The following is a 27,592-nucleotide window of genomic DNA, read 5'->3' on the forward strand; positions in this document are numbered from 1 at the left end:
AGTACTCCTGTCTCTCAGGCAGGACCGTAAAACACTGCAAACAGGAGGAAGCAGGAAGAAGTCACCCATGAAGTCCTTGCCCCTGATAAAAAACAAAACTCATCCGGCCTCTGAAGTCATAATAGTTCTTGCAGCTTGGAGTGTGCCGCCATCCTCCCCAAACACATCTCGACTCTGAAAGTGACCCTATGAAGGCTATGACTGCTAAGCAGCAGGCAGAACAGGTGGGTGCATTTGCTATGTTGAACAGCAGCATTCCGGGAGGATAATGTAAATTCTACTTAAGCCAAACTGCTACTGGGGGCTGGGCTCAAGTCATGCCCTCAGGTTGCAGAAAGGGGATGATGGATGCTGGCCTTGCAGTTCTCTGCGCTTGCTGGATGATACATGGAGCAGTGGTGTTGGCCTCTGAGGGTGGCTGCCCAGTCGTTGGCTGGAGCAGGGGTACAAAGCAGCACAGCACAGTGTTGGCTAAGGTTCCGCAGTAAGACTACCTGAGTTCCAGTCCCATTAGGCTTGCTACCATTTAGCTATGAGAATTTACTTCACTTCTTTCTGTCTCCATTTCTTTATCTGTAAAATGCAGATGATAATAGCACTTACCTCATAGGGTCCATCGTTAGGATTAAGTGAGCTAATGTGAGTAAAGTACTCAGTACCTGGCGTATAGTAAGAACTAAACTTCACTATAATATATCACTCCATGGGCTAATAGGTCACTTTTAAAAATTACAGTTTTAGGCCGGGTGCAGTGGGTCACACCTGTAATCCTAGCACTCTGGGAGGCCGAGGCGGGTGGATCACCTGAGGTCAGGAGTTCAAAACCAGCCTGGCCAAAATGGTGAAACCCCATCTCTACTAAAAATACAAAAAAATTAGCTGGACATGGTGGCATGTGCCTGCAGTCCCAGCTACTCAAGAGGCTGAGGCAGGAGAATTGCTTGAACCCGGGAGGCGGAGGTTGCAGTGAGCCGAGATCACGCCACTGCACTCCAGCCTGGGTGACAGAGCGAGACTCCATCTCAAAAAAAGAGAAAAAAAAACAAACGTGGTTATAAATAGCCATGTGCTGGTAAATGTTTAACAACCAGCTCTTTAGGAAAAAAGCTCTGACTTGTAATGTTTACTGATTTTCATGGTTTAAATATTTCCACCATGATTAATTACAAGCCACCAACGTGACAGCATTGGATGCAGAGCCGGGAGGAAGTGCTCACAGTCAGCTCCCAAGAGCCAGCATACCACAGTTATGAAGCCCAGCTGGTAAAATGAAAGATGTGAAAAAATAAGAATAAAATTTGAAATATAAAATTATCACCAACTATGTAAAAAAAAATTGTGTGCACAGAAAAAAAAGAAAGGAAATTTACTGGATACTGACTGTAGTTGTATTAGAAGAGTGGTAGGAATGTAATTAACTCTTTAATAGATATATTTTTGTTTTCCTTAAAGTGCTTATGTTAATTTTATAGTGGAAAAATGAGCAGAGTTAACTACATACGTACACACACACACACTTTATATTATGGAAAATTTCAAACATATGGACTAATAGTATAATTTAAGTACTCATTAGTGGCTCCAAAAATTATCAATGTTTTGCCAATCTTCTTTCATTTCAATTAAATAAAATTTCTTTCATTGTATTTATCTCAGAGACCATGTCATTTCACCTGAAATAGCCCAATATATATTTTAAAAACATAACTACCACATCATCATCAACATTTAACAAAAATCCTAATAATTCCTCAATATCATCTGACACCTAGTCCATATTCAAGTTTCCCCAATGGAGAAAGATGGCTTTTACAGTTTGTTTCCTTGAACGAGGGTTCAAACATGGCACTGTGTTATTACTTTAAATCTTTTTTTATTCCATAATGGTTATCCTCTCTTTCTCTTTCATGCCAGCAATTTCTTGAAGAAGCTGATCATTTGTCCTGTGGAATGTCCCATGTTCCAATTTTGGCTAATTGCTTCCTTATGGTTGCTTGTTTCTCTAGTCCCCACATTTCCTGTGGCCGCTGGTTGGACTAAGAGAGTGATCCAGGCAAGAGTTTTCACGGGTGGTGCCAGATACTTCCTCCTGTGTCATATTCTGACACATTTAATGCCCGGCTGTGCCACTTTTAGTGACGCTAAGATTGCATCTAAGTGTAATACATTTAGGAACAAAATTAAATAGGGGGAAATACTTGGAACAACAGAAATGCCAGACACAGAAGAAACTGATTTCAGCAAAACATGAGACAGGGTTTTCTCTGAATTCCTTTGGCCCTCCTGAGGGCTTCACATCCCCATCCTTGGTCACTACAAAGCCTTGGAATGCCTCTACCTGGACCTGTACCTCCAATCATCCTTCGCACTGCAGCCACCAAAGTTCTAAAGTGCAAATCAGACCACTTCACCATCCTGGTTTAACTTTTCCAGTGGCTTTCTGTGGTCTGCTGGAAAAATGTAAATTTCTTTAGTTCATCACTTAAGCACCCTCATGATCTAGCCCGTGCCTACCTTCCCTACCTTCTCACCCATAATTCTCTTTCTCTCTTCCTATATATCATGCTTCTCACCAATGCTCCAACCACACTCAGCTCCATGTAGTTCTATTTTTATTTTATGTTTCATAGAGGCAGGGGTCTCACTATGTTGCCCAGGCTGGTCTCAAACTCCTTGACTCAAACAGTCCTCCCACTGGGGCCTCCCAAACTGCTGGGATTGCAGGTGTGAGCCACCTTACCCAGCCCATGTAGCTCTCTTGATATGATGCTCCTTCACAACTCTGGGTCTTGGATTGGTTATCCTCCTGCCTAAAATGTCTTTCCTTTCGTCTGCTTGGCAGTTTTCCACCCATCTTTCAAGACTGCTGAGCCAGCCATTTTTGACCTCCCTAGTCTAGTGTGAATGCCTGTCCTCTGTTTCTTCATGGGTCCTCATGAGTACCTCAACTTATTCCATCATTCCATCCCAGTGGGCTTTACTGGGCTTGGCACACTGCAGGTGCCCAGTGATCATCTGTTGAATGAAAGAATTTAAAATGAAGCACTGTAGAAAGGATGAAAAAAGTGCTGGGTGAATTTGCCATTGGCTGAACAAGCACACCCAAAAGATTGCTAAGTGCTGAGTATGCTGAGTGACCACATCTGTACCAGAGCACCCTCACTGTCTTTATTTCTGCTCTGCTCAACATTTTCATCCCTTTAGGAGCTTGAGTTTGCTTGAATTGCAAACATAAGCAAAACCTACCTTGAGCTATTTCCTTTAGGTGCCTATATTAAAGAAAAACACAATGTAAGCTCAACCAATCAGAAGCAGCCAATGAACTTATATAACTAAACTTTCCAACAAGATAGACCGAATAAAGCAACTGCATAACTGTAACCAATAAAATATCTTTTTTGCTTTACTTCTGTGCTTGTCCTCTAAAAGCCTCCCCATTGTGTTCTCTTGGTGGATCTCCCCAACCACCTCTGGTTTGGAACTGCCTGACTTGCAAACTGTAGCTTGCTCAAATGAACTCTTTAAAATTTCACTGTGCTTCAGTTTATTTGTTAACAATAGTATCCACCACAAACTTTGTTTTGAGGATTAAATGAATTAATATACATAAAGTGCTTAGAACACTGCCTAGAACATAGTTCTATTCAAAAGCTTGTTATTAATATTCTGCATAGGTCTTCACCTCTCTACTTGTTAGCTGGCTCTGCATACTTTGTGTTTAAGTTTTGTTTTATCCACAGCACATCTGGCATAAAGCTTTAGAGGATGAATGAATCTTATAGAAGCACTTGGGAGATTGTTCAGGGTGGTAGTAAAGAGGATGAACTTTGGAGCCTGGCTGCCCAGGTTCCCACCCTGGCTGCCCCTCTGACCACTGAGTAACCTTCACCACACAGATGGAAGCCTTCTGTAGCTGTTTCCTTGTCTGTAAAATGACAGTAGTCCTGGGTCTGTTGTGACATTTACATGAGATCATTCATGTAAAGCTCCCAGCATAAAGGCTGGCAAATGGGAATGGCTCACTAAATGTGATTTCCTATTAGTAAGTATTTTCCTTCCTTGGGAATTTGCATTTTAACATGAACTAAGGAGGGGGCCTATTTGAAGGCAAGCCAGCATTTTGGACCTATCCCAATAATCAGTAATCTTATTTTTTTTCATTCTATCTTGACTATCACATCAATCCTGTTTATACTTGCACAAATAAAGTGGTTGGAATCCTGCCTGTTCACCAGAATGAATGACATGAATGACTTCTATTTCTGTCATTGGCTGTATTCAGCATAGCCCCTCTCGTTAACTCAAAGTAAAAAAAAAAAAAAAAAAAAAAAAAAAGCAACCAAATCATTCAGGTTCAAGGGGATGGGAACAATCCAGGGACTCAGAACAAACGTGATTCTTCAGCAGCCCACTAATCAGCCAAGGCGGGTGAGACTTCCCAAAGGGCTGTGACTTCACAGCCAGGGGCCTCAGGCTAAAACTGTCCCTAATGGAAATCAAATAAAAATTCAGGGATTGCTTCAACAACCCAGCACTGGACTTCAGCTGAACTGACCATTCCTCAGGGAGGGCACCTTCATAGGCAGCAAGAACCACTTAGCAAAGAAGATAGGTGAAGTGGCCTGGATCCCGGCATCCTGAGAGCTCCAGGGAAATGGCCGGTGGAAGGAACTGAGTAGGGATCTCTCCCAAAGGCTTCTGTATCCTAGCTATGCCGTATTTTTCCCTTGAAAGTTTATCTGGGAGCTGTCATAAACATATTGTCCCTGCTTTTTAACCCAAGATCAAATGTCCACTTCATGTGATTACTTGTTAAAAATGCATCACTCTTAAATCTCACTCTTCACCAACTCCCATAGAATTACTGGTACTAAAAAACTCGTATGATAAGCTTTCAGATATTCTAACATGTTTCTTGCTTCAAGGTTAAGTTTCATGTACCTACCTGATTTATCGTGATCAAGGTGGTGGGGAGTTTTTGAGGATTTGGAGTCTTTCCTCTAATAATATCAGCTAACACTTACTGAGCATTTACTGTATATAAATATGTTCCTGCACGATCTCATGTAATTGAAGAGGAAGTGGGGTCAGGTACCATCCCTGACCCAATATTTTTTTTTTTTTTTTTTTTTTTTTTTTGAGACGGAGTCTTGCTCTGTCACCCAGGCTGGAGTGCAGTGGCGCGATCTCGGCTAACTGCAAGCTCCACCTCCCGGGTTCATGCCATTCTCCTGCCTCAGCCTCCCAAGTAGCTGGGACTACAGGTGCCCACCACCACGCCCAGCTAATTTTTTTGTATTTTTAGTAGAGACGGGGTTTCACTGTGTTAACCAGGATGGTCTCGATCTCCTAACCTCGTGACCCGCCTGCCTTGTCCTCCCAAAGTGCTGGGATTACAGGCGTGAGCCACCGCGCCCAGCCCCCAACCCTATTTTCATATGGAAAACTGAGGAGGCAGAGTTAAAATAACTTGCCCAAGCTTGTTTGAAACATTTCACACCAGGAGGGTCTGACCTGAGGGCTGAGCTTTTAAGCTGTGATGTGGACCATTCCTTTCCTTTCACCAGTCCCATGTTAATATGCATGCATGCGTAGGACTGAGCCAAAAACAGAACTACAAGGGTATGGAACTCATGGTGATCACGCCCTTCCCTAGCTCTGGGAAAAAGCCTGAGGCACAACATCCCTCACCCTCACTATCATTTATTCTTGCAATCATTCATTCAACAAATATTTGTAATTGAGGACATTCCATGTGCCACATCCTCACCAAGGACACAGTGGCCATCAAAACCAGATGGGACTGCTCTTACTGGGCCTACGATTCCCATGAGACACCAACACGAGGGTGGAATTTACGCTCACATAAACTTACAGCTGCAACAAGAGCTGTGAGGCACAGGAACAAGATACTGTGAGAATATGTAAAGGGGAAATCGCCTGATTAGGTCAGGGAAGTCTGTGAGTCTGTGACAGAAAAGGGGACATCTATAGAAACAGGAGAGGGGAACGTGTAATGGGGGATAAGAAGAGCATGGGGGGAGGCCCTGTGACGGGAAAGGAGCATGGCACATCCTGGGAATGAAAGTAGACAAGGGCTGGAGGAGGCCCAGCCATGCTTAGGACTCATTCTTTATGGTGAAGGTAGTGGGAAGCCTTTGAACCACCAACTTTGGACTGCATTCCTGAGCAGTTGCTCAAGGCCAAACAGTGCCCCAGCAGCCACCTTCTGTGTCTGTCTGCCATCTATGGAGTTATCAAGGAGGCAGATCTTCATAGCATCAGCATCCTTGAACTGTGACTTTAGTCGTGGTGATGGCCAGCTTGGGATCAGAGAGAACCAGGCCCTGGCAGCTTCCTGCTCTGTCCTGAAAGTTGACTTCCTTTGGTCTGTTGAATCATGGCATTTCCAGGAAGATCAAATATCACAAGAGAGAGATAGTAATTACACAATGTATTTGGGACAAAGATCACTCATACTTCTTTGCAAATAAGTCAGCTAATAATATTAAGAGTAATTTGGCTGGGTGCAATCGTTCATGTCTGTAATTCCAGCACTTTGAGAGGCCAAGGCTGGCAGATAGCTTGAGCCAAGGAGTTCAAGATTAGCCTGAGCAACAGAGCAAGACCCCCATTTCTACAAAAAAATTGTAAAAAATTAGCCAGGTGTGGCACGTGCCTGTAGTCCCAGCTGCTTGGGGAGGTTGAGGCAGGAGGATCACTTGAGCTGAGGAGGTTGGGGCTGCAGTAAGCCAAGATCACACCACTGCACTCCAGCCTGGGTGACAGAGCTAGACCCTGTTTCCAAAAAAGAAAAAGAAAAAAAAATGAATAATTTCAGTGTACTGAATTAACAGAATTCCACAGATTGTACCCTGCTATCTCTGCCTTTTCTGCCTTATCTCACTGTAAATTATTTGCTTGAGAAATGTGTTTATGCATAGTTTTCTGGAACAAAGCTGCCCGATGGCATTCCACAAGCATAGAAAAAATAATGATTATGGTGACTCACTTCTTGCTCGTTACTTAAATATTATTCACTAAACTTTGCTAACAAGAAAGAGTTACTATAAAATCGCTTCTCTGCCTCACTGGATATAATTTTCTCTTCAGTTTCAGATGCCATCTCCAGTGCTATTTAAGAGAGGTTTGCATGTGGATGTGAGAGAGATTACTTGCTTATTTATCTATTGCTTATTTACGCTTTTGTTTCAATATTTCTAGTGACCCCAACTGAGTGATTCGGATGTGAGCATGCACAGTCCCTTTACACCATGCACCTTACAATGATGGAGAGTTGAACTCATCAACATAATTTTCAAAAGACTGACACTTTTTTTTTCAGTCATAAATGCTTATATTTTGAAGATGGAGATATTATCTAGAGGCTTCTAGATAAACCATTTAACTCTAAAGAAGAGAAAACAGAATAACCCTTCACTGAGGGAATTCCATTTATTGATTAAAAAGCTGATTGGAATTTGCATTTGCACAGGTAGGGGGAAATCCCAATTTGTAGTCTGTGTCAAGTGGGGCCAGCCCCAGGTGAAATTGGCCATCTCAGCCCATGAAAGCAAGAGAAAATGTCAGCTGGGGAGATCCTCAAGAGAAAGTGTGGGGGATGGTGAATTTTATGTGTTAACTTGACTGAGCCATGGGATGCCCAGATATTTAGTCAAACAGTATTCTGAGTGTTTCTGTGAGGGTGTTTTTGAATGTGTTTAACATTTAAATCAATAGATAGTGTAAATGTGATTGTCCCCCAAATGTGATTGAGAATCATTTAATCCACTGAAGGCCTAAATAGAACAAAAGGCTGACTCTTCCCCATTAAGAGGGAGTTCTTCCTACTTGACTGCCTTTGAGCTGGGGCATCATTTTTTTCCTTGCCTTTGGACTTGAACCATGAGCTCTTCCTGGGTCTTGAGCTTGCTGGCCTTCAGCCTGGAACTATACCATCAGGTCTCCTGGGTCTCCAGCTTGCTGACTGCAGATCTTGGAACTTGTCAGCCTCCATAATCACATAAGCGTATCCCTTATAATTCTCGCTTTCCATACCAACACACACACACACACACACACACACACACACACACGATATATACATCATTTTCTCCATTTCAGTATCAGCTGATGGGAGAGGAGACAAGAGGAATGGAGGTGTTCCACTTGGAAAGGCCAGGCTCTTGGTTAGGTGGGAGGTTGGAGGTCATCTGATCCAACCTCCTGCCTGAGGCAGAAGGGCTCTCTATATCATGCTGTACATGTTCAAGCATGCGGTTCTTTGGCTTTGGCCTGAATACCTCAGAACGGCACTGCTGTGCGATGTTATCAAGGGCTCTGGAATCTGATGGCTTGTGTTTCACCTGGCCTAAACTTCCTACCAACCATGGCCTTGGGCACATCCTTACTTGACTCATTTCTAAAATGGGATAATAATACCGCTCATCTCAGGGCTTGCTAGGATGATGCCTGGAGAATACAGAAGAACATAGTCTAGTGGCCAGTATCTATTACAATAAATGTTAGCTATTATTAGTCCTGCCATTTCTAATCTAACCTTAATTTGGGATGTAAATGCCCAGATTCAGTAATTCCATGTTAGCTTTTCTTTTAAACTTGAGGGCAGCTGCAGATTTGATAACCATAGCTTCTATGTATTCTAAGGCCTTGCTATTCAAAATGTAGTCTGCAGAGCAGCAGCATAGATAGCACCCGGGACCTGTTAGAAATGCAGAGCTCTGGCTGGGCCCGGTGGCTCACGCCTTTAATCCCAGCCCTTTGGGAGGCCGAGGCAGGTGGATCACTTGAGGTCAGGCGTTCGAGATCAGCCTGACCAACATGGTAAAACCCCTACTCTACTAAAAATACAAAAATTAGTCAGGTGTGTTGACACATGCTTGTAAACCCAGCTACTTGGGCGGCTGAGGCAGGGGAATCACTTGAACTTGGGAGGCAGAGGTTGCAGTGAGCAGAGAATGCGCCACTGCACTGCAGCCTGGGTAACAGAGTGAGAGTTCGTATCAAAAAAAAGAAAAGAAATGCAGAGCTCAGGCTTCAGCCAATGATAAGTATTAATGTTTAATCTAAGGCTCCAAACAAAGGTGACAAGGAACACTGGGCTAGTGATAGAGTTCTATGATAACACCCTGGAGACTCCTCTCAGTTTAAAACACTGATTAACATTTAACTTTAGCCAACATAATAAAAAACAGATTTCTGGGAGGATTCTAAATATTAGAAAGGGTAGGATGAGGAAAGGGCAAGATCCCAGGCAGCAGTTGGAGCTCCTAGACTCTTCCATGTCACTGGCATTAGATGCCTCAACTCTGCCCATCTTCTGTGTATTCTATTCAAATTCTGATTAGCCCAATCTGGGTCAATGTCTTCTACTCTTGGACACCTGGCCCTGGCCAGGCTTGAATGCACAGCCAGGATGATGCTGAGTCAGAAGCCAGCCCAGTGTGTGTCCACTACAAAGACCATGTTTCAGAAAGATGCATAAGTACAGGTTTTTTGCTCAAACAGCCTTCGTAGATGTCCACTACTTGACTACGGTGGATCCTAAACAAAGTTAATACAATGTTGGGCACCTCAAACTTGCTTCAAGGAAAAAATGGAGAAGGGAGCCTGACTTAGAAAGGAGCAAGTTATTTTTGGAGGAGAACAGTATATTTACCCTATGAAATCATTGAAAACAACTGCTAGCGTATTTGGGGTGTGCACTTAGCAGAGGCTTCATTTGGAAAGTTTAATAATACAGAGATCCTTTGTTTGAGGGGGTGTTAGCTTCCTTTAAAAATACAATCTTTAGAGGAACAGGTAGCTCCTGGATCTGGAAAATAAAGCCTGAATTTCCCAGAGGGCCATAGGTGCATAGTTGAGAACTGAGTTTAGAATTTGAACTATGGTCATCTGAGGGAAAAGATAAGATTATCTCGTCACCTTTATCGAACCTATTGTTTAATCTTTGACAAATATATGCATGTTGATAAAATCCCAACCACCCGGAACTCAGGTCAGGAAAAAGAGACATGTTTTTGCTCCAAGTCAGCCACTCCATTAATAGGAATATCATAGCCACATCTTTGAAAGTAATGACACCACTGTTCTCTGGAGTGTGTTCAGGTGGGTGTGCTGCATTCTAAGGAGGGCATTGAAAACTGTAGGGATTCCAGGTAAAGAGCATCAGGGGAATGAAGAAAAGTTCTGGAAACCATGTTACACAAAGAACCATATGATATAGAACCAGAAACCAGGTGGCCATGTGGAATCGACTGCAGACATTCTCTTCTGCTCCTGAGGGCCAAACTAAGGCCATCAAGTGGAAATTATGGAGAGTAGGATTTTGGATGAATATAAACATCACTTAAAAATCTCTGACGTAGAATTTGTTATGGATAACATGGTTTGTGATTGGGGAAAATGCCTTGATAACTCTAATTTGTGTTGGAGAGATTGCTGGAGCAGGAATGTTGTCAGACTTTATAAGATTAGAGGAGGTCAGGGAAATTCCTATCAAGAGGCAAGGAGGGGAATTTGTTGTGTTCCTGAGAGGGAAGAGTGAACAGAAAAGTAAGAGAGGGGAGAGGGAAGCTAGGAGAAGGGTCAGAGAGGATGGAAAGGGTTTGGAAAAACAGAAACATCTCTTCATTCTTCATTCATTCATTTATCAATGTATATTTTTGAGTACTCAGACCTCTGTGCTAGGTGCCATTGTAGCCACTGGGGATAGGACAGTGAATAAAGTAGATGAAGTGCCTACTCTCAGGGTGGGGCGCACATTCTGGTGTAGAGACAGACAATACACTAACACAAATAAGTATACAACATGTCAACTCACAGTAGTGTTGTGAGGAAAAACAGAGCTGAGGAAAGCAATTGAGTGGCAGGTTGGTCAGGGAAGGTCTTTCTGAAATGATGTTTAGGCGGGAAACTGGATGAGGTGAGGGCTTAAGCCTGGGAAGTATCTGTGGGGAAAGCTTTTGGGAAAAATATATTTAGTCTGGGTGACTTGAGCAGAACTTTAACATGCTATGAAATTGTTAGGATTTGAACCAATCTTATCTAGATCTTGCAGGGGAAAGGGATTCCCACCTATATCTGATCAATAAAACTTGGAGTCTTCGCTCCAGAATGTTCTTTGGTTGGTCGGTTATTTCAGAGATAGGGTCTCCCTCTGTTACCCAGGCTGGAGCATTGGCTTGATCATAGCTCACTACATCCTGGGCCCAAGCAGTCTTCCTGCCTCAGCCTCCAGAGTAGCTGGGACTACAGGTGCATGCCACCATGCCCAGCTACTTCTTAAAATGTTTTGTAGAGATGGGGTCTTTCTATGTTGCCCAGACTGGTCTCAAACTCCTGGCCTCAAGAAATCCTATGTCCTCAACCTCCCAGAGTGCTGGGATTACAGGTGTGAGCCACGCCCCCACCTGGCCTCTCTCTAGAAGGTTCTCATGGGTGTATTGAACATCTATCAGCCAGAGGAGGGTTACTGTATTGGGTGGGAGGTTGAATTAAGTGGTTCTTATGCCTGGCTTAGTATCAGAATCACCTGGAAATTGCTTTAAAATTATAGGTTTCTAGGCCTCACTCCAGAAATTCTGCATCAGAATCTCTGGAAAATGGGGATCAGGAATCTGTACTTTAAAACAAGTTTCTCCAGTGCTTCTGATGCAATTAGAATACAGACTAGCATTTGGAAACCACCAAATTAGTTGACTTTTAAGGTTTCCTTCAGCTCAGAGAGTTTTTGATGGCATGAAATGCAGCTTCTCCATGAAGTCAATTCTATCTTTCCGATTGGAGTTTTAAAAACTTCTTTATAGCAGGGTGTGGTGGCTCACGCCTGTTATCCCAGCACTTTGAGAGGCAGAGGCAGGTGGATCACCCGAGGTCAGCAGTTCAAGACCAGTTTGGCCAGCATGGTGAAACCCTGTCTTTACTAAAAATACAAAAATTACCCAGCCATGGTGGTGCATGCCTGTAGTCCCAGCTACTTGGGAGGCTGAGGCAAAAACCCGGGAGGTGGAAGTTGCAGTGAGCTGAGATTGCACCACTGCACTCCAGTCTTGGCGACAGAGCAAGACTCTATCTCAAAACAACAAATAAATAAAAAATAAGAAAAAAAAATCCACTTCTTTTTAGGTGTTAAAAGGAACACAAGCTTGCTGTTAAAAAAATTCAAATGATAAAAAAATATAGGCTGCACATCCTAGAAATAACCATTATTAGTGTTTGGTGCATATTATTCTCGATTTTGCCATATATGTAGATTCCATACACACACACACACACACACACACACACACACACATATACATAATAACATTTTGTTGTTGTTTTTGAGACAGGGTCTTACTCTGTCACTCAGCTTGAGTGCAGTGGTATAATCGGCTTACTGCAGCCTTGAGCTCCTGGGTTCAAGTGATCCTCCCACCTCAGCTTCCCAAGTAGCTGGGACTACAGCTGGGACTACATGATCAAGCGATCCTCCTGCTTCAGCCTCTCAAAGTGCTGGAATTATAGGTGTGAGCTACCATACCTGGCCCATAATAAAATTTTTAATCCTTTGGTTTACAAAAATATGATCATAATTTACTGCAATTTGCTTTATACGCTTGTTAATACATCTTAAATATACTCCTAAATCAATACATATAGAGCGACTTGATTTTTCGTGTGTTTTTTTTTTTTGAGATGGAGTTTCGCTCTTGTTGCCCAGGCTGGAGTGCAATGGCACGATCTCAGCTCACCTGCAAACTCTGCCTCCTGGGTTCAAGCAATTCTCCTGCCTCCGCCTCCCGAGTAGCTGGGATTACAGGCATGTGCCACCATGCCAGGCTAATTTTGTATTTTTAGTAGAGATGGGGTTTCTCCATATTGGTCAGGCTGGTCTTGAACTCCTGACCTCAGGTGATCTGCCCGCCTCGGCTTCCCAAAGTGCTGGGATTACAGGCCAGCCACCACGCTCAGCCTGTGACTTGATTCTTATAATGACTGCCTAGTGTTTCATTGTATGTCTATATCATAATATAATGGACATTTAAGTTGTTCCTATTTTTCTGCTATTACAGCCACTACAGCAATTAACATCATTGCAGCATATTTTCTTGGTATTCATTGTAAGTGAGTATTCGGCATAAATTCCTAGATTTGGAATTTTTCAAATATTCCTGTAAGGTGCTACCGGTTTATATTCAGACCAACCATTTTATAGGAAGGTTCCTGTTTCCTCACCCTCTTACTCTTCACTGATATTATCTTTTAAATTTAAGATAATCAGTTACATAAAAATATCTTATTGTTTCAATTAGAATTTCTTTGGTTCTTGCTGAGAATGAGATCATTATGTTTATTGCACATTTGTTTTTCTTCTATAAATTATCTGTGTCCTTTGCCATCTTTCTATTAGATGGAAATTTCTTATTGATTTGTGTAGGCTTTTTATTTATATGGCTATTAATCCTCTATGTAGTTTCTCTAGAGTGTTGTTTATCTTTTTATTTTATTAAAATGTAAGGGTGGATAATACATTTTATAAGATTCAAAAATCAAACCTACACAGAAAGGTAAACACAGAGGAGTTGCATTTCCACCTCTGTCCCTCCACCTGTCCCTCCCAATCCCTTACATGGAATCATTTTCCTGTGCTTCATTGTGTAGATATAAGCAAAAATGCCTGTATAGTGTTTCTCTCCTTTATTTTTAAAACATAAAATGTAGCACATGATAAAAAATCTGGAAGAAACCTAAGTGTCCATCAAGAGACGAATGGATAAAGAAAATGTGGTACACATACACAATGGAGTACTGCCATAAAAAAGAATGAGATTCTGTCATTTGCAACAGCATGGATGGAACTGGAGGTCATTATGTTAAGTGAAATTAGCTAGGCACAGAAAGACAAACACCGCATGTTCTCACTTATTTGTAGGTGCTAAAATTTAAAATAATTGAGCACATGAAGATAGAGAGTAGAATGATGTTTACCAGAGGCTGGGAAGAATAGTGGGATGGTGGGGACTGGGGATGGTTAAAGGGGACAAATATATAATTAGATAGAATAAATAAAATCTAGTATTTGATAGCATCACAGGGTGACCACAAACAACAATAATTTATTATAAATTTAAAAATAGATAAAAGAGTATAATTGGATTGTTTATAACACAAAGAAAGGATAAATGCTTGAGGAGATGGAGACCCCATTTACCCTGATGTGATTATTATGCATTGTATGGCTGTATTAAAATATCTCATGTACCACATAAATATATACACCTACTATGTACCCACAAAAATGAAAAAATTTTAAGAAACCCTGCAAATCTAACCAAAAAAGAGGGACAGGCAAAAGATCTAGAATGTTTCAGGAACTCCTCTAAGAAAGTGCTTCTTGACCCACCCTCAACCCAATTATTCACTCCTGTAATACCCTGTATATTCACCTATCCAATAAGTGGAGTTACACTTACCATGTCCAATAGAAATTTTCTGGTTTTGGTACTCATATCATCATCACTTTCTTGTATTTATATCTATTTTTTCATATATGTATATACAATTGATGTATAAAGGTGTTTATCTCGGAGTGGGCAAGATTTCAGGTGATTTCTACCTTATCAGGTACTTTTCATATTTAAATGTTTACAGATTAAGAATACAAAATCTACAAACAAAAAAAATTCTTTCACAAAAGAGAAATAAATGTTCTGATATTATTTTTTTCACTTAATATTGACTTAATATAAACTACTGATATCCAGGTAACTGCTCCATATCAGTCCATAGGGATCTTCTTCATTCTGTTTTCAGCTGCGTGGTACTCTGTTGGTGGATGTACCATACTCTATGCTGGGCACTTGGGTGTTTACAATTATTTTATCATTACAAACAAAACAAATCAGTTTTTGCTTATTTCATTTTGTATCTCTGCAGTGTAGTGTATTTGTAGAATAGATTCCTGAGAAGTGAAATTGCTGGTCAAAAAGTTGTCACCTTTCTTTTTACTTTGTGATGATGACTTTCATTATAAAGAAGTTTTCATTTTTTGTGTTAATTTTTTCTACTTATTGTTTTTGGATTTTGTAGTGCCTTCTTTGGGAAGAAAGGTCTGCTTGGACTATAAATTATAAAGGCATCCTTTACCGTTTTCTCCCAAAGCATGCGCGCACACACAATCTTCACTGTGTATGGATTTCCTATTGTCTGTGATGTAAGAGTCTAATTATCTTCTCCCATAAGGATATCCCATAATACTTTACGCCTTATTTGAGGAACTTATCACCTTCTTCCTCTTTCTGCCTGGAAAGATAAATCTGTGTCAAATATTACCTCTCCTACTAGACAGTGAACTCCTGGAGAGCAGATATTATGCCTTATTCATCTTCACATACCTGATAGTCCCTACCACAATCCTGACTCATGACAGATGTTAAATACTTCCTTCTAAATTTAATAGAAAGTGTAGAATGCCGGCCAGCTTTCCAATTTTCAGGATAGAAAATGAACTTATATTGTTATTAGAGATGAAATCTGTGTTGGGATAAACTTCTAGAACTCCAGTAATATGAGACATTGGTGTGACGATAAGAAAGGAATTCTTCCAGGTCTCTTCCAGTCTATGAAAATTCTTTGTGAAACAAGTTAGAAATGTGCAAAGGCAGGATTTATAATACTGGCAGTGGACCAAAACACAAGTATACGGAGGGGAATGTGTTTCTATCCCTTTACAAATTCACCTTATAGAATCACATCCAGACATTTGTTATTTGTGCCCCTCTACATTTTATCTGAGAAAGTTTATTTATTTATTACACAAATATTAGACTGGACTGTATGAAATGGCTCATACTTAATTCTTATCCACCAAAGCTTCAGTTTCATTAGGTTCCATCCAATATGTACTGAACCCTGTGTTTTAAGTAGTGTGTAAATGTAGCGAGTGGCAGGAGGTATTTTAGTGAAAACATAAACATGGTCCCCGTCCTAACAGAACTGAAAATTTACTGAGCAAGACAGACACTAAACAAGAAAGAACACAAAATAGTATAATAATCAGGAATTTCTGGATTAGCATGTTTTTCTGACACTTACATGAATCAATAAAAATATGTTGAAGGTACTACATATAGTTTAAATGAAAATGTGCTCTTTATGTTTTGCTTTACTCTTAAGTCTATATATCTTCTAAGTATTTTGTTAATCTTATAAGCATTCAGTCAAATTGTTTTAAGTATATATATTAAGTCAGTTCTACTGAGGCATAACTTATATGCACAAAAAATTCATTCCCTTTAGGTGCACAGTTCAATGCATTTTGACAAATGGGTATAGTGTATAACCACATCAAGATATAGAACATTTCCATCATCCCCAAAAATTTTCTCATGCCATTTGTATTTGATTGTTGAACTGATTTTAACTGAACTGTTTGTTGGCAGGCTGGGCTCCTCCAGACCTCTGCCTCTTATTTTACCAAGAGCCTTGTCTTCCACGACTGAGGACAAAAGGTCTGGCATATAGTAAGGAAGTTGCTGGGATCTTCACTGGATCTTCACCGTGGCTAGGAGATCTAGAGTTTATCTGAAGAAACAGGTTGTTCAGTTCAGCTGGGATCAACCAGCCTGCCTGGAGAACCTACAATGTACCAAACATCTCTGGGGACATTTGTTCTCAACTAGAAAACTCAGACCACCTGTGTACATTCATCCTTTTAACTTACACCCACTCTCTTCAGTTGTGCATTTTTCTTATCTTAGCTTTTCCGAATGCTTGAGCTTCCTCTGAAACCCTGAACTTTTTAGATCTGAAATTCATGGTCTCTGGATGTCTGTGGAGGATGCTGCAAGCTTGCCCTTTGTTTGAAGGGTCTGAAATTGGAGAAAAGGGAAGATGACTCTAGCATATAAAAACCTCAGCAGAAAGAGATTCAGGGATGTTTGCACTGATTCATGGGGAGAATTATAGTAAGGGACAAATCTTATGATTCAGTTGTGGATTCAGCAACTCTGCAGAGATAATGCTGAAACATCAGTTATAGCTTTATTTTCTTGCTAAGTATAATTGGATGAAGAATAAATATTGTCATGCAGCCTAGTCCATGCTACCAACCTTCCAGAGAAACACCAGCCACTTTGGTTTTCAGGGTTTACAGCCACAAAGCAGACTACTTATTTTGAGAAATGATGTACACAAGTAAACCAAAGTAGCAAGAATGTCTAAACCAAATCTTACTAATATGTGCAGTATTAGATAATCAATGAATCAAGAAGTAGTCCCCAAACTTGATTCTTAGAATTACCCTCAGAGCTTGCTGAAAATACAGATTCTCTGGAGATTCCAATTATCTGGCAAGGGGCCTGGGAAATTGCATTTTTGCTAAACTGCCCTGTTGGTTCTGATGCTGCCTATCTAGAGTCTACCCTTTGAGGGCATTGAATTTAAAATGAGAGGCCTGAATTTCCAGGGTTCCAGGGGGGGTTCTATTTCCTAGCTGTGTAGGCTTGGCTTAGATATGTCATTGCTCTGGGCCTCAGTGGCCTCATTTGGGAAATGGATCGTGAGGTTTTTGAGGACAGAAGCATGGGTAAGAGGCATGGTTTGAGAGATTAATGTGGTAGGTCTATATGGATGGGCTAAGCCTGAGACATGGGAGAAGGAGGCTAATTAGAAGGTAGTTGCCACAGTGCAGGCAGAGCTGTGAGGACGGGGAGGAAAGGCAAGGAGGGGCCAGAGGTGAGAGGCCACACAGAGTGGGAGTCATAGGATTTGGTGACTGGATATGGAGGGTGAGGAACAAGAAGGGGAAAATGGGGCTTCACACTTGGGTGACTAGGTGAATGAAGGCTTCATTTAAAGAAATCAGAAAATCCAGAAGTTTAGACGGATAAAACACTTGATTGTCCCTGTAGAGGTTCCTCCCTGATGGCACTGTGCTGCATTCTGGGATGTCCCCTCCTCTCTGATTTAAGAGGATAATATAAATGTGGATGACAGAGGCAGACAGCAGCTCTGGGGCCACTGACTCCTCCCATTACCTTAGGCAAATCATCTCACCTCCAGGAACTTAGTTTCCTCATTAGGAACTAAAGTGGATGGACTAGAAAACAGGGATTCTTGTGGGATCTCTGGATGACCTTCAAGAATTTCATGAATTCCCTGAAACCATATGCAAGATTTTCATGAGTAGGCCTATCTAGAATTTTCTATGGAGAGGGCCCAGAGCTGACATCAAATTCTTAAAGGAGTTAGTAACCCGAGAGGAGTTGATAATGATTGCAATAGATAACTTCTTTAAAAAAAAAATCTTATTATGGGTGTAACCAAGTACCCCATTTTCCTAAAAATTATCTTTTACCTTTTCTCTTTTTCCCTGTGTGTTCACCTTTTACTTAACTCTTTAGGAATGCAACTATAACCTTTACCTTCTCTCCACCAGGCACTCCCTGCACTGCCAGCTTATCTAACTATATGTTTGCTTAGAAATTCTAAGAACCGAATGTTGAACCGAACCAGGTACCCTTCAGGATTCTTCCCCACCAGAAGATAGCCTCGAGGCAACAGCTAATTTACAATATAAATTCTGTTCCAAGGGGACTCTCCCCAACCAGATTTCCAGGGGACTGTGGTCAGTCTGCTACCTAGCTCTGCCTGCGATGGCGCCAGCCAGACTACCTGTTAGATAAGACATCCAACAAGTCACTTCCTTGTCTCCTCCCCTCTGTGCCATCCATGCCAGGTTCTCCTTTAAAGCCTCTGCTTTCTGGCCTGAAAGTGGAAGCATACCCTTAAGGCAGGAGGAGCCTGTAACTCTTCCCCTCAGCTAAGCTCTGTAATAAAGGCAATTTCTAGCAGACCTCAATCTTATTAATTGAACTCTGTAAGCAGTGATCAGCTGGACCTGTGTTTGGTTACAGGGGGAATTTCGACTATACAAAAGAAGAGGATAAATGAGAGCTATTCAGTTATTACCCAACTCCAATACTTGAAATGATCTCTTAAGTGCTTTTTAAAGTATATTTCATTGTATTCATTTATATGTTGGATTTTTTTTTCATGTATCACCCCTAAGTGGGTTTTACTCTTATAAAGATAGGTGTTCAAAGAAGGAAATGGTAATATTCACAGGCCTCTATTTAAGGTACTCACTAGATGCTATCTCTTCTCTCTGTTAACCAGGTTGATGAATGTCCTTGCCTCTCTCTACAACACGTGAGCTGTTCTTTTCCCACTTCTTTAATGGTATACTTACCAGGAGTCAGTTATGTCTGTTTCCAAACCTGTTTGTGCCTATTGTACCAAGTCTTAACATTATGTAATTTCATTAAATATGTACCTAATGTATTGAGAAAGAAGTTGGAGGTATGCAAACTTTTTAAAAAAATCAACTTTATTCTTTCTCAGATGTGCTGCATTGGATTTTCCATCCTGCCATTGGGTGATCTCTCCAGCAGATCCCATAGCATTTCCATTCAATTTCAGATCTTAATAAATGGCCCCACTTTTAGTTGTTAAAAGGTGCCATCCAGTTTCATATCAAAGCTTCACCTTCTCCTCCAGGTTGGGCCCGACTCAGGCTCAGAATCTCACTGGGGGCCTGGTTGGCTCTTTGTTATCCCTTCATCCTACTCCTAATGCCTCCTCCCCCAGACACTGCTGTGTCCAGATATTCAGGGATGAAAGTGGGCAGCAAAAGAGAAAAGGAACATATGTGACCAGTGACTTTGTAATGTGACACCAGTGCCCCTGAGTGGCACATGCCCTGAAGTTTGCTCTTTCTCTCGTGGGGCACTTTTGTGGGTCCTTCAGAATCCACCCACCATCACTAACACTACATGGATCTTCCCCTTCACCATTCCTCCATGCAGGAAATGCCCCCTCCGTTTGGCTGTTATAATTCTCCTCTCCCCTCAGTGCTTTTTTTTTTTTTTTTTTTCTTTTGAGATGGAGTCTCACTCTTGTCGCCCAGGCTGGAGTACAACGGTGTGATCTCAGCTCACCGCAACCTCCACCTCCCAAGTTCAAGAGATTCTTCTGCCTCAGCCTCCCAAGTTGCTGGGATTATAGGCATGTGCCACCATGCCCCGCTAATTTTGTATTTTTAGTAGAGACGAGGTTTCAAAATGTTGGTCAGGCTGGTCTCGAACTCCTGACCTCATATGATCCACCGGCCTTGGCCTCCCAAAGTGCTGGGATTACAGGTATGAGCCACGACGTCTGGCCATCCCCTGAGCTCTTAACTTTTGATGAGTACATTGCCCTGGCAGGCAGATCTCTTGAACAGAGCCCTTTCTAAATGATCAAGCCCAGCTGTCTTCAGTGTCCACACTGGCCCGTGGGAAATACACATCCTTGCCCAACATTGCTGGAAGTACAATGGTGTTCTTACTGTACTACTCTCTCCTCCTCTGCAGCCAGAGGAAGCTTCTTACCTTTAAACCTTTCTAGGTACAATCCAGCTTCTAGTCCTGGTGACCTTCAACTCTAAGGATACACATTATGCTCTTCTGGCAATTCATGTAAAGATCTCCCTGACCCCAACTTCAAAGAAATTCCTTTTATCAGTCTTTTTCACTGCTCTTCCCTAATCTCTTATGTGGCCTGGGAGTTGGTGGCAAGCTAAATAATGTTGGAAATTTTTGGTCATATTCCTTAGCAAGTTCTATAAGGATAATCTGGGTCCTCTCTTCAGAATGTGTGGGTGCTTAATAAACTTTGTGCTTAGTTTGTGGGCATCAGTCAGAATTGAGATAATGGAGGCGGGGCGCCATGACTCACGCCTGTAATCCCAGCACTTTGGGAGGCCAAGGTGGGTGGATCACCTGAGGTCAAGAGTTCGAGACAAACCTGGCCAACATGGTGAAACCCCATCTCTACTAAAAATACAAAAATTAGCTGGGCGTGGTGGTGGGGACCTGTAATCCCAACTACTTGGGAGGCTGAGGCAGGAGAATTGCTTAAACCCGGGAGGTGGTGGTTGCAGTGAGCCAAGATCACGTCACTGCACTCCAGCCTGGATGACAAAGTGAGAATCTGTCTCAAAAAAAAAAAAAATTGAGATAATGGAAATGTTCCATTTTAACATCCACCTTAGAAATATCACTTAATTGGGAAAAATGTGAGTGTGAAAGGGAGCTGTTTTTATGGAAGCTAAGTTAGTTGTTTAAAAAAGACAAAAATTCAACAACAATAAAAAGACCTCATATCAAAATAATTAAGATCCCATAGAATTAGGTGTAGAAGAATCAACTATAGATTTGGGGGATTGTAGAAACACTTTAAATACTCCTTAGAGTGTTTAAGATTCTCTAAGTTCCTGCTTCTCTTTAAGGAAGCTAAATTGATGTCTGCTTAGAGAATGCAAGGCTCCAAATAGCAGCCTCATACGCAAAGAAAGTGATGAATGAACGTACTCTGATATGTTAGAAGTTAAAAGGAATATTTAAGGTAAATATCATTAATTTTTTTTTTGTGATTCCCTGCTTTAACTGACTTTTAAAATTATCAAACCACCACCAGTTTTAACAGAGCTAGCTAAGAAGTTTGCAGAGAATGCGGTTTTTCCTTCACTATCCATCCTTCTCTTCTTCCATGTTAACAGAGTTCCAATTTTTAGCTGGACTCTAGTCCCCCAGAATAAAAGTATTGCTTGGTCCCTTGCAACTCGGCATAACCACGTGACTAAATCCCGGTCAATATATATATCTTGAAATATCTTTTGGCAGCTTCTGGGAATGCTCTTTAAGCAACAGCTACTACAATGTGCACTTTGCTCATTTCTTCTTTGCCTGTCTTATGCCACCTGGAATGCAGATATGACAGCTGGAGCTCTAACTACCATTTTTTTTTTTTTTTTTTTTTGCCATAAGGAAAAGGACTATACCTAGAAGATGGTGAAACTCTGGGTTGGAAGGAATTTGAGTCTTTGAGGGCTTCATGGAATCAAACTGCCAGAACAATATGGGAATAAATATTTGCCTTCTTTAAACTGCTTTTATTTTAGATCTTTGTGATTCAGCCAACCTAATCAAAACCGATCTAGAGGCTTGGACCTTAGTTATTTTTTCTGAACTGAAATGCAACCTGCCCTACATATTCTATTAAGAAACTTATAAACAACTAATGTCTGTGTAGACTTTATCATAATCCTCAGGAGCTTTATATAGACAGGACACCTGAATTAGAAAGAGAAGCGTCCTCAGCCCTTTTAGACTCAAAGATTCTACAGTGCACTATTTTACTTGAAGAATATTCTTTTAATAAAAAATTAACAGAAAGTCAATGCCTTGCCCTGAGACAATTCTAATAAAGTCAATGAGTTGACTTAGTGTTTATGGTAACTATTTCTATGTTCTGCCATTTCATCAGGCCATATTGATTTATTTTCCCTTGTCTAACTTGAGAGCTGGCAACACATTTTCAGAGCCAGGACCAGCATGTTAACACATAGTTCCTTGACAACAGAAGTGCCACATTCCTTTAGTTCTGAGATTCTCTCAATTGAAGATACATTATTGGTTTCATAACAACTTTTTGAGAAAAAAGAAAACTATATTAAATGAACCTTTTTGTCTTAGTAAATGTCAATAGTATATGCACACAAACACACAAATTCAAATTTTTTATTTTGTACTGTAAACAAGGTTTGAGTTTAAATCTATTCATATTCAGTCTAAAGATTCCTTTGAATCACTTTTTGTTCCACAGCACACCGGCTCCCTGATTCGCTTAACCAGTTCTTGTGCTTCTGGGGTCTTTTGCACCTGTGCTACCAGTACTATGAATGGTTAATATACTTCTAAGGGAGGAGACCACCCCTTATATTGTCTTATGCCCAATTTCTGCCTCCAAAGAAAGAAAAAGTAAAAACTAAAAGGTAGAAATGAAATCCACAAGCAGACAGCCCGGCGCCACACCCTGGGCCTGGTAGTTAAAGATCAACCCCTGACCTAATTGGTTATGTTATCTATAGATTACAGACATTGTGTAGAAAAGCACTGTGAAAATCCCTATCCTGTTTTTTTCCGATCTAATTACCAGTGCATGCAGCCCCCCATCACGAACCCCCTGCTTGCTCAATCGATCATAACCCTCTCACGCGCACCCCCTTAGAGTTGTGAGCCCTTAAAAGGGACAGGAGTTGCTCACTCGGGGAGCTCTGCTCTTGAGACAGGAGTCTGGCTGATGCCTCCGGCCAAATAAACCCCTTCCTTCTTTAACTTGGTGTCTGAGGAGTTTTGTCTGCGGCTCGTACTGCTACACTTCTATTTAATTGTATTCCAGTAAAATTCTTTTTATCCCTGTCCCTATTTTTAGAGACAATAAAATCTTTTGGAGAAAATAAAATTGGGCTCTACAGGCCTGACTCTTGTTTTGAAAGCTGACTGATGAAATTCTGGCACATGGCTTTAAAAATGCAAGATATCATAATGAACAAAAAGAGGCTCATAAAAAGATGAAGGTGTCTCTTTCCCCTGAAGCTTCAGTGGGAGAGGATCATTTATGTCACAGATCAGTTAACAGAATCAGTATTGATAAGGAATTAGAATGTAAAACCTTGCAAGAACATTTATTCTTGTTGTCCTGTGCAACATGAAGACTTGTATGAAGGTGTATAATTGTAATGAGACCTTGAAGGCATGATTTGAATTGTAATGGGATCTTGAAGGCATGATTTGAATAAGGAATCCTGCAAGAGTCTAAAGACTCTTTAGAAACCTGCAAGTCTGATTGGCTGTTGTTATGGTTTGAATGTCTGTGTCCCTTGAAAATTCATATATTGAAACCTAACCACAAAATGATGGTACTAAGTGTGCGGCCTTTGGCAGGTAATTACGTCATGGGGGCTCTCCCCTCATGAATGACATTAGTGTCCTTATGAAAGGGCTGGAGGGAGTTTGACCCTTTTTGCTCCTTCTGCCATATGAAGACACAGCAGCAGGGTGGCACCCATGAAGCACAGAGCAGCCCTCACTAGACACTGAATCTGCTGGTGTCTTGATCTTGGACTTCCCAGCCCCTAGAACTGTGAGAAATAAATTTCTATAATTTATAAGTTACCCAGTTTAAGGTATTTGTTATAGCAGCAGGAACAGACTGAGACAGTTGTCTTCATAATTCGCTACCTTGGTACTAATGTATTGACATCTGTATCCTTACCTGTATACCTGTATGATTGGTGTCAAGTCAGAAAAGCATTATTAGCACTTTTCTATCACATGCATGATAGAAATACCAAATGCTATGACTCATTTTAACAATGAGATTGAGAGTCTTACTTCTTTTACATTTATATCATAACTTCAAGGCACATTTTAAAAAATCAGGTTTCTGTATATCCTGGTAAGGTTTTTTTTCTTCTTTAACATATGTTCTGAGACTGAATCTGATTTCAGAAGTGCAGATATTTTCAGAAATGTAGATTTTTAAATAAATCTTAAGGAAAACTTGGCATTTAAACAAATGTAATTGTTGGCATTTTAATTCTGTGTGTCAGTGGATATTCAATTGTCAGAGTTATGCTTCTGTAATCTTGAGGCCATTCTTAACAGCGTATAAGGCTGAGAATAAATTACACTGTGCATCCCCTTCTCCCTATCCCCTAATATTTTGTTCTGGGGAAATCTGTTTAAAATATTTATCAAGAGCAACTTAAAAGGTAAATTAAAATGCAGAGTTACAAAGAGACAATAACCAGCATTCTAAATGGTGTGTGTGGAAGATACAGGAACCCTTGATGCTTCCTGGCCATCAGTCAGGTGACCCAGGGCATAAGGAATATTCTGTTAACTTTATGTAGACACCTTGGGTCTTTCAGAAAACCATCTGCCTTCTTCTATAGCTTGTTGGCTTCTCAAATCCTTGCAAAACACTGGGCATCTGATTTCCTAAGCAGTTTGGGACCCCAAAAGATTCTTTCATTTTGCTCTGCCTGAGGGCAGTGTTTCCACCTTTACGGTTCAGCTATCTCTGTATTATTTACTTAATATTTTTATAAGGCCTTGCTCTGTTTCCTTAAATGTATTTACTTTAAAAGGACACTTTATATTATGATCTTAAATGGAAAAACTGGTGTCAGACAAAATTCCAACAAATTTAGTTATAGATTGAATTTGGCTTTTGTTTGTAATTCATGAATGGGGTGGCTTTCATTCTAAAATAGAATCAGAGTCCCCCATTCCCACCGCCACCCCCACTCTGGGCAATGGCAGAATGGTGGGTTTTGCAAGGTGGGGACAAGAAAACAGAACAAGAAAAAAAGGTGATTGGTCAATTTCAGGTTACTTTTTTGATAAGGGTTAAACAGAGGGGACTTCATTATTATGCCAACTCAGGTAGACTGGAATCTCTCCTGTTTTCAGCAAATATAGGGCTGTGGGGACGTATCTGTTTCCTTAAAGTTTCAGTTTGATTACGTGGCATTTAGCATGAGTGACTTCATTTTGGTTTGGACTGGTCTGTTGCGGCCTAGTGCTAGAGCTCAGCCTAAAAAATGGCCTCCCATAATTTTTGTTTACACTAGTATCACACTATAAATGGAAGGCAACTTCAGGCCAGAGATGGGCTCACATCAGAAAAATCCAGAATTCAATCATGTGCCCCGATTTAAAACCACCAATGTCTTTTGAAAGCCTTTCTGGGCTGACAAAGTTCTGTGTGATTGGTCTCTGATACCACTCTCTCTAGAGCTTCACCCCCTACAGTGCAGGCCTATTGACCTTCTTCTAGGCCCTAGACTTGCCAAGCTCACTCTTCCTCTGTATTTGGTGTGACCAGCTTTTTCTTGTCATTCCAATCTCTGCTTAAATGTCGCCTCCTGGAGTGGTTGCTGTTGGTGTCCTGCCCAGAAGCTTAGGTACCTTTACTAGCTCTATTTGACCACTCCCTTTCCCCCTAAATCCTCCATGTCACCAACAGCATATTTTACATACAGCATTTTGTTCAAAAAATATTTGTTGAATAGAGGGGAAAACATAGATAAATGGCTGGATTGACACATTTGAAGAATTATAATAAATTGATTTGAATAATTAATTGATAAGACAGAAAACTTATTAATTATTATCTACTAACCACAATAGTTTTCAGAATAATCAGCTAAGGGAATAAAACAAAGACAGGATGATTTAGAGAGGAATTCTCAAGATTGGGCATCATAACCAGAGGTGTCCCGAGTTAGCAGAGAGCGGGAGGAACGCTCTGCACATCTGGGGACTGCCATTGGGACCACTAAAGACAAATGTACTTGCTGTTAGTTTCCATTAGACAGACTCATAAAATACTACAGTTTGGTGTGCAACACAGACTGAGCCTTGAGATGACACAAAGCACAATGCCTGCATCGGGTTACCATATTTGGCAGATTGGAAAATGACTGTCAATGCCACCTGAAGGGTCAATGTGACTGTTTTAGATGATAAAACTCTCACAATCTCTGTCCCTTATAGAGTATGATTTCTGATTCCCTAGACTGATCAGAAACTTCTAGTGTCAAAGGGATGTGAATCATTTGACTGCATGTCTTCCTGTCTGCCCTCCTCTCAGCTCATTTGAGGTAAATGCTTAGCAGACACGTTCCCACTGATAAAACTGCATGCATATTTACTCTTCACTTTCTTGTTCTTTCAGACACAAATGCACAGTCTTAATCATAATAGGAGACACATTTGTAGTCCAAGAGTTGCAGCAATAATCTTACTGATTTTGCTTTTCTGCTTGCTTTTTCTGAGAAGACACGTTACTGTGATGCAAGGTGTGAAAGCTGCTGATGTTTACAGGAAACAGATTGGAACAAGATATCAGCACAGACTGAGGTACCACGTTGTAGGGAGCCTGCCACTGCTTCCCAGGCCTCCCTGCCACCAGTAGCCCATTGGTGGCCTGCCCATTTGGGGTTTTGGCTGGTACCAAATGTGCAATTGCTCACTGTATCACACTTACAGCACTTATAAAGAAACTCTGACACTGTAAGTGCCAAGGTAGGGAAGGGGAGGGAGGTGGGATTGGAGGATTTTGCTCACTTCTACATAGCCTTCATTAGCATCCCCTAAAGCTGCCTGAAATAAACATTCAATCTAAATAAAGACTTATTTCTTGATATGTAAATGCAGCTTAAAAATAAGTCCCTTTCACACCTCTTTTAGCCACAAGATTGCCCCGAACCCCTTCTGGAAAGACATTCTGAACTCAGGGAGAACTTGGTACAGAATTCTTCTTTAAGACAAGACTTGTGAATTAAAGTAGTATGTTCAATATCACTATATTTACCAATATCTGTTCCTTCTCCTATCCTAGGCATATGGAAGACTGTACTTCTCAGTTTCTTTGCAGTTGGATAGGGCCATGTAACTAGTTATCATGGCCAGTGTAATGATACACATCATTTCCAGGTGAGACAGTGTGATTCGCCCAACTCTTTCTTCCCCAACTTAGGCAACCATGGAGAAGATTGTATGCTGAGATGGAAGACCCAAAAGATTGAAGCAGCCTGGATAACTCGGGTACCACACAGAGGACAACTGCCCTAGAGAGTTGCCTTGACCCGCAAAAGACATTGCCTGAGATGAAAATAAACTTTTATTGTGTTAAA

The 27,592-nt window shown here is 41.0% G+C and overlaps 1 long non-coding RNA gene across 1 annotated transcript, besides 2 other annotated features; it reads left to right on the forward strand.

Moving 5' to 3' along the window:
- Positions 1-27,592, forward strand: LOC105379040 (uncharacterized). The gene is made up of 2 exons (XR_948485.3): positions 1-224; positions 27,436-27,592. It is a non-coding gene; the product is annotated as an uncharacterized LOC105379040 (long non-coding RNA).
- Positions 6,198-6,492: a silencer, noted in NCBI's record as "tiled region #2499; K562 Repressive non-DNase unmatched - State 21:Repr". NCBI's record gives its function as "represses a minimal TATA promoter and a strong SV40 promoter by Sharpr-MPRA in K562 cells {active_cell/tissue: K562}" and the evidence as "EXISTENCE:reporter gene assay evidence [ECO:0000049][PMID:27701403]".
- Positions 25,447-25,948: an enhancer, noted in NCBI's record as "NANOG hESC enhancer chr5:74269438-74269939 (GRCh37/hg19 assembly coordinates)". NCBI's record gives its function as "activates a minimal SCP1, AML or CMV promoter by ChIP-STARR-seq in naive H9 embryonic stem cells {active_cell/tissue: H9 hESC(naive)}" and the evidence as "EXISTENCE:reporter gene assay evidence [ECO:0000049][PMID:30033119]".

This window comes from Homo sapiens, chromosome 5 (genome assembly GCF_000001405.40).
Source record: "Homo sapiens chromosome 5, GRCh38.p14 Primary Assembly".
Taxonomy (NCBI): domain Eukaryota; kingdom Metazoa; phylum Chordata; class Mammalia; order Primates; family Hominidae; genus Homo; species Homo sapiens.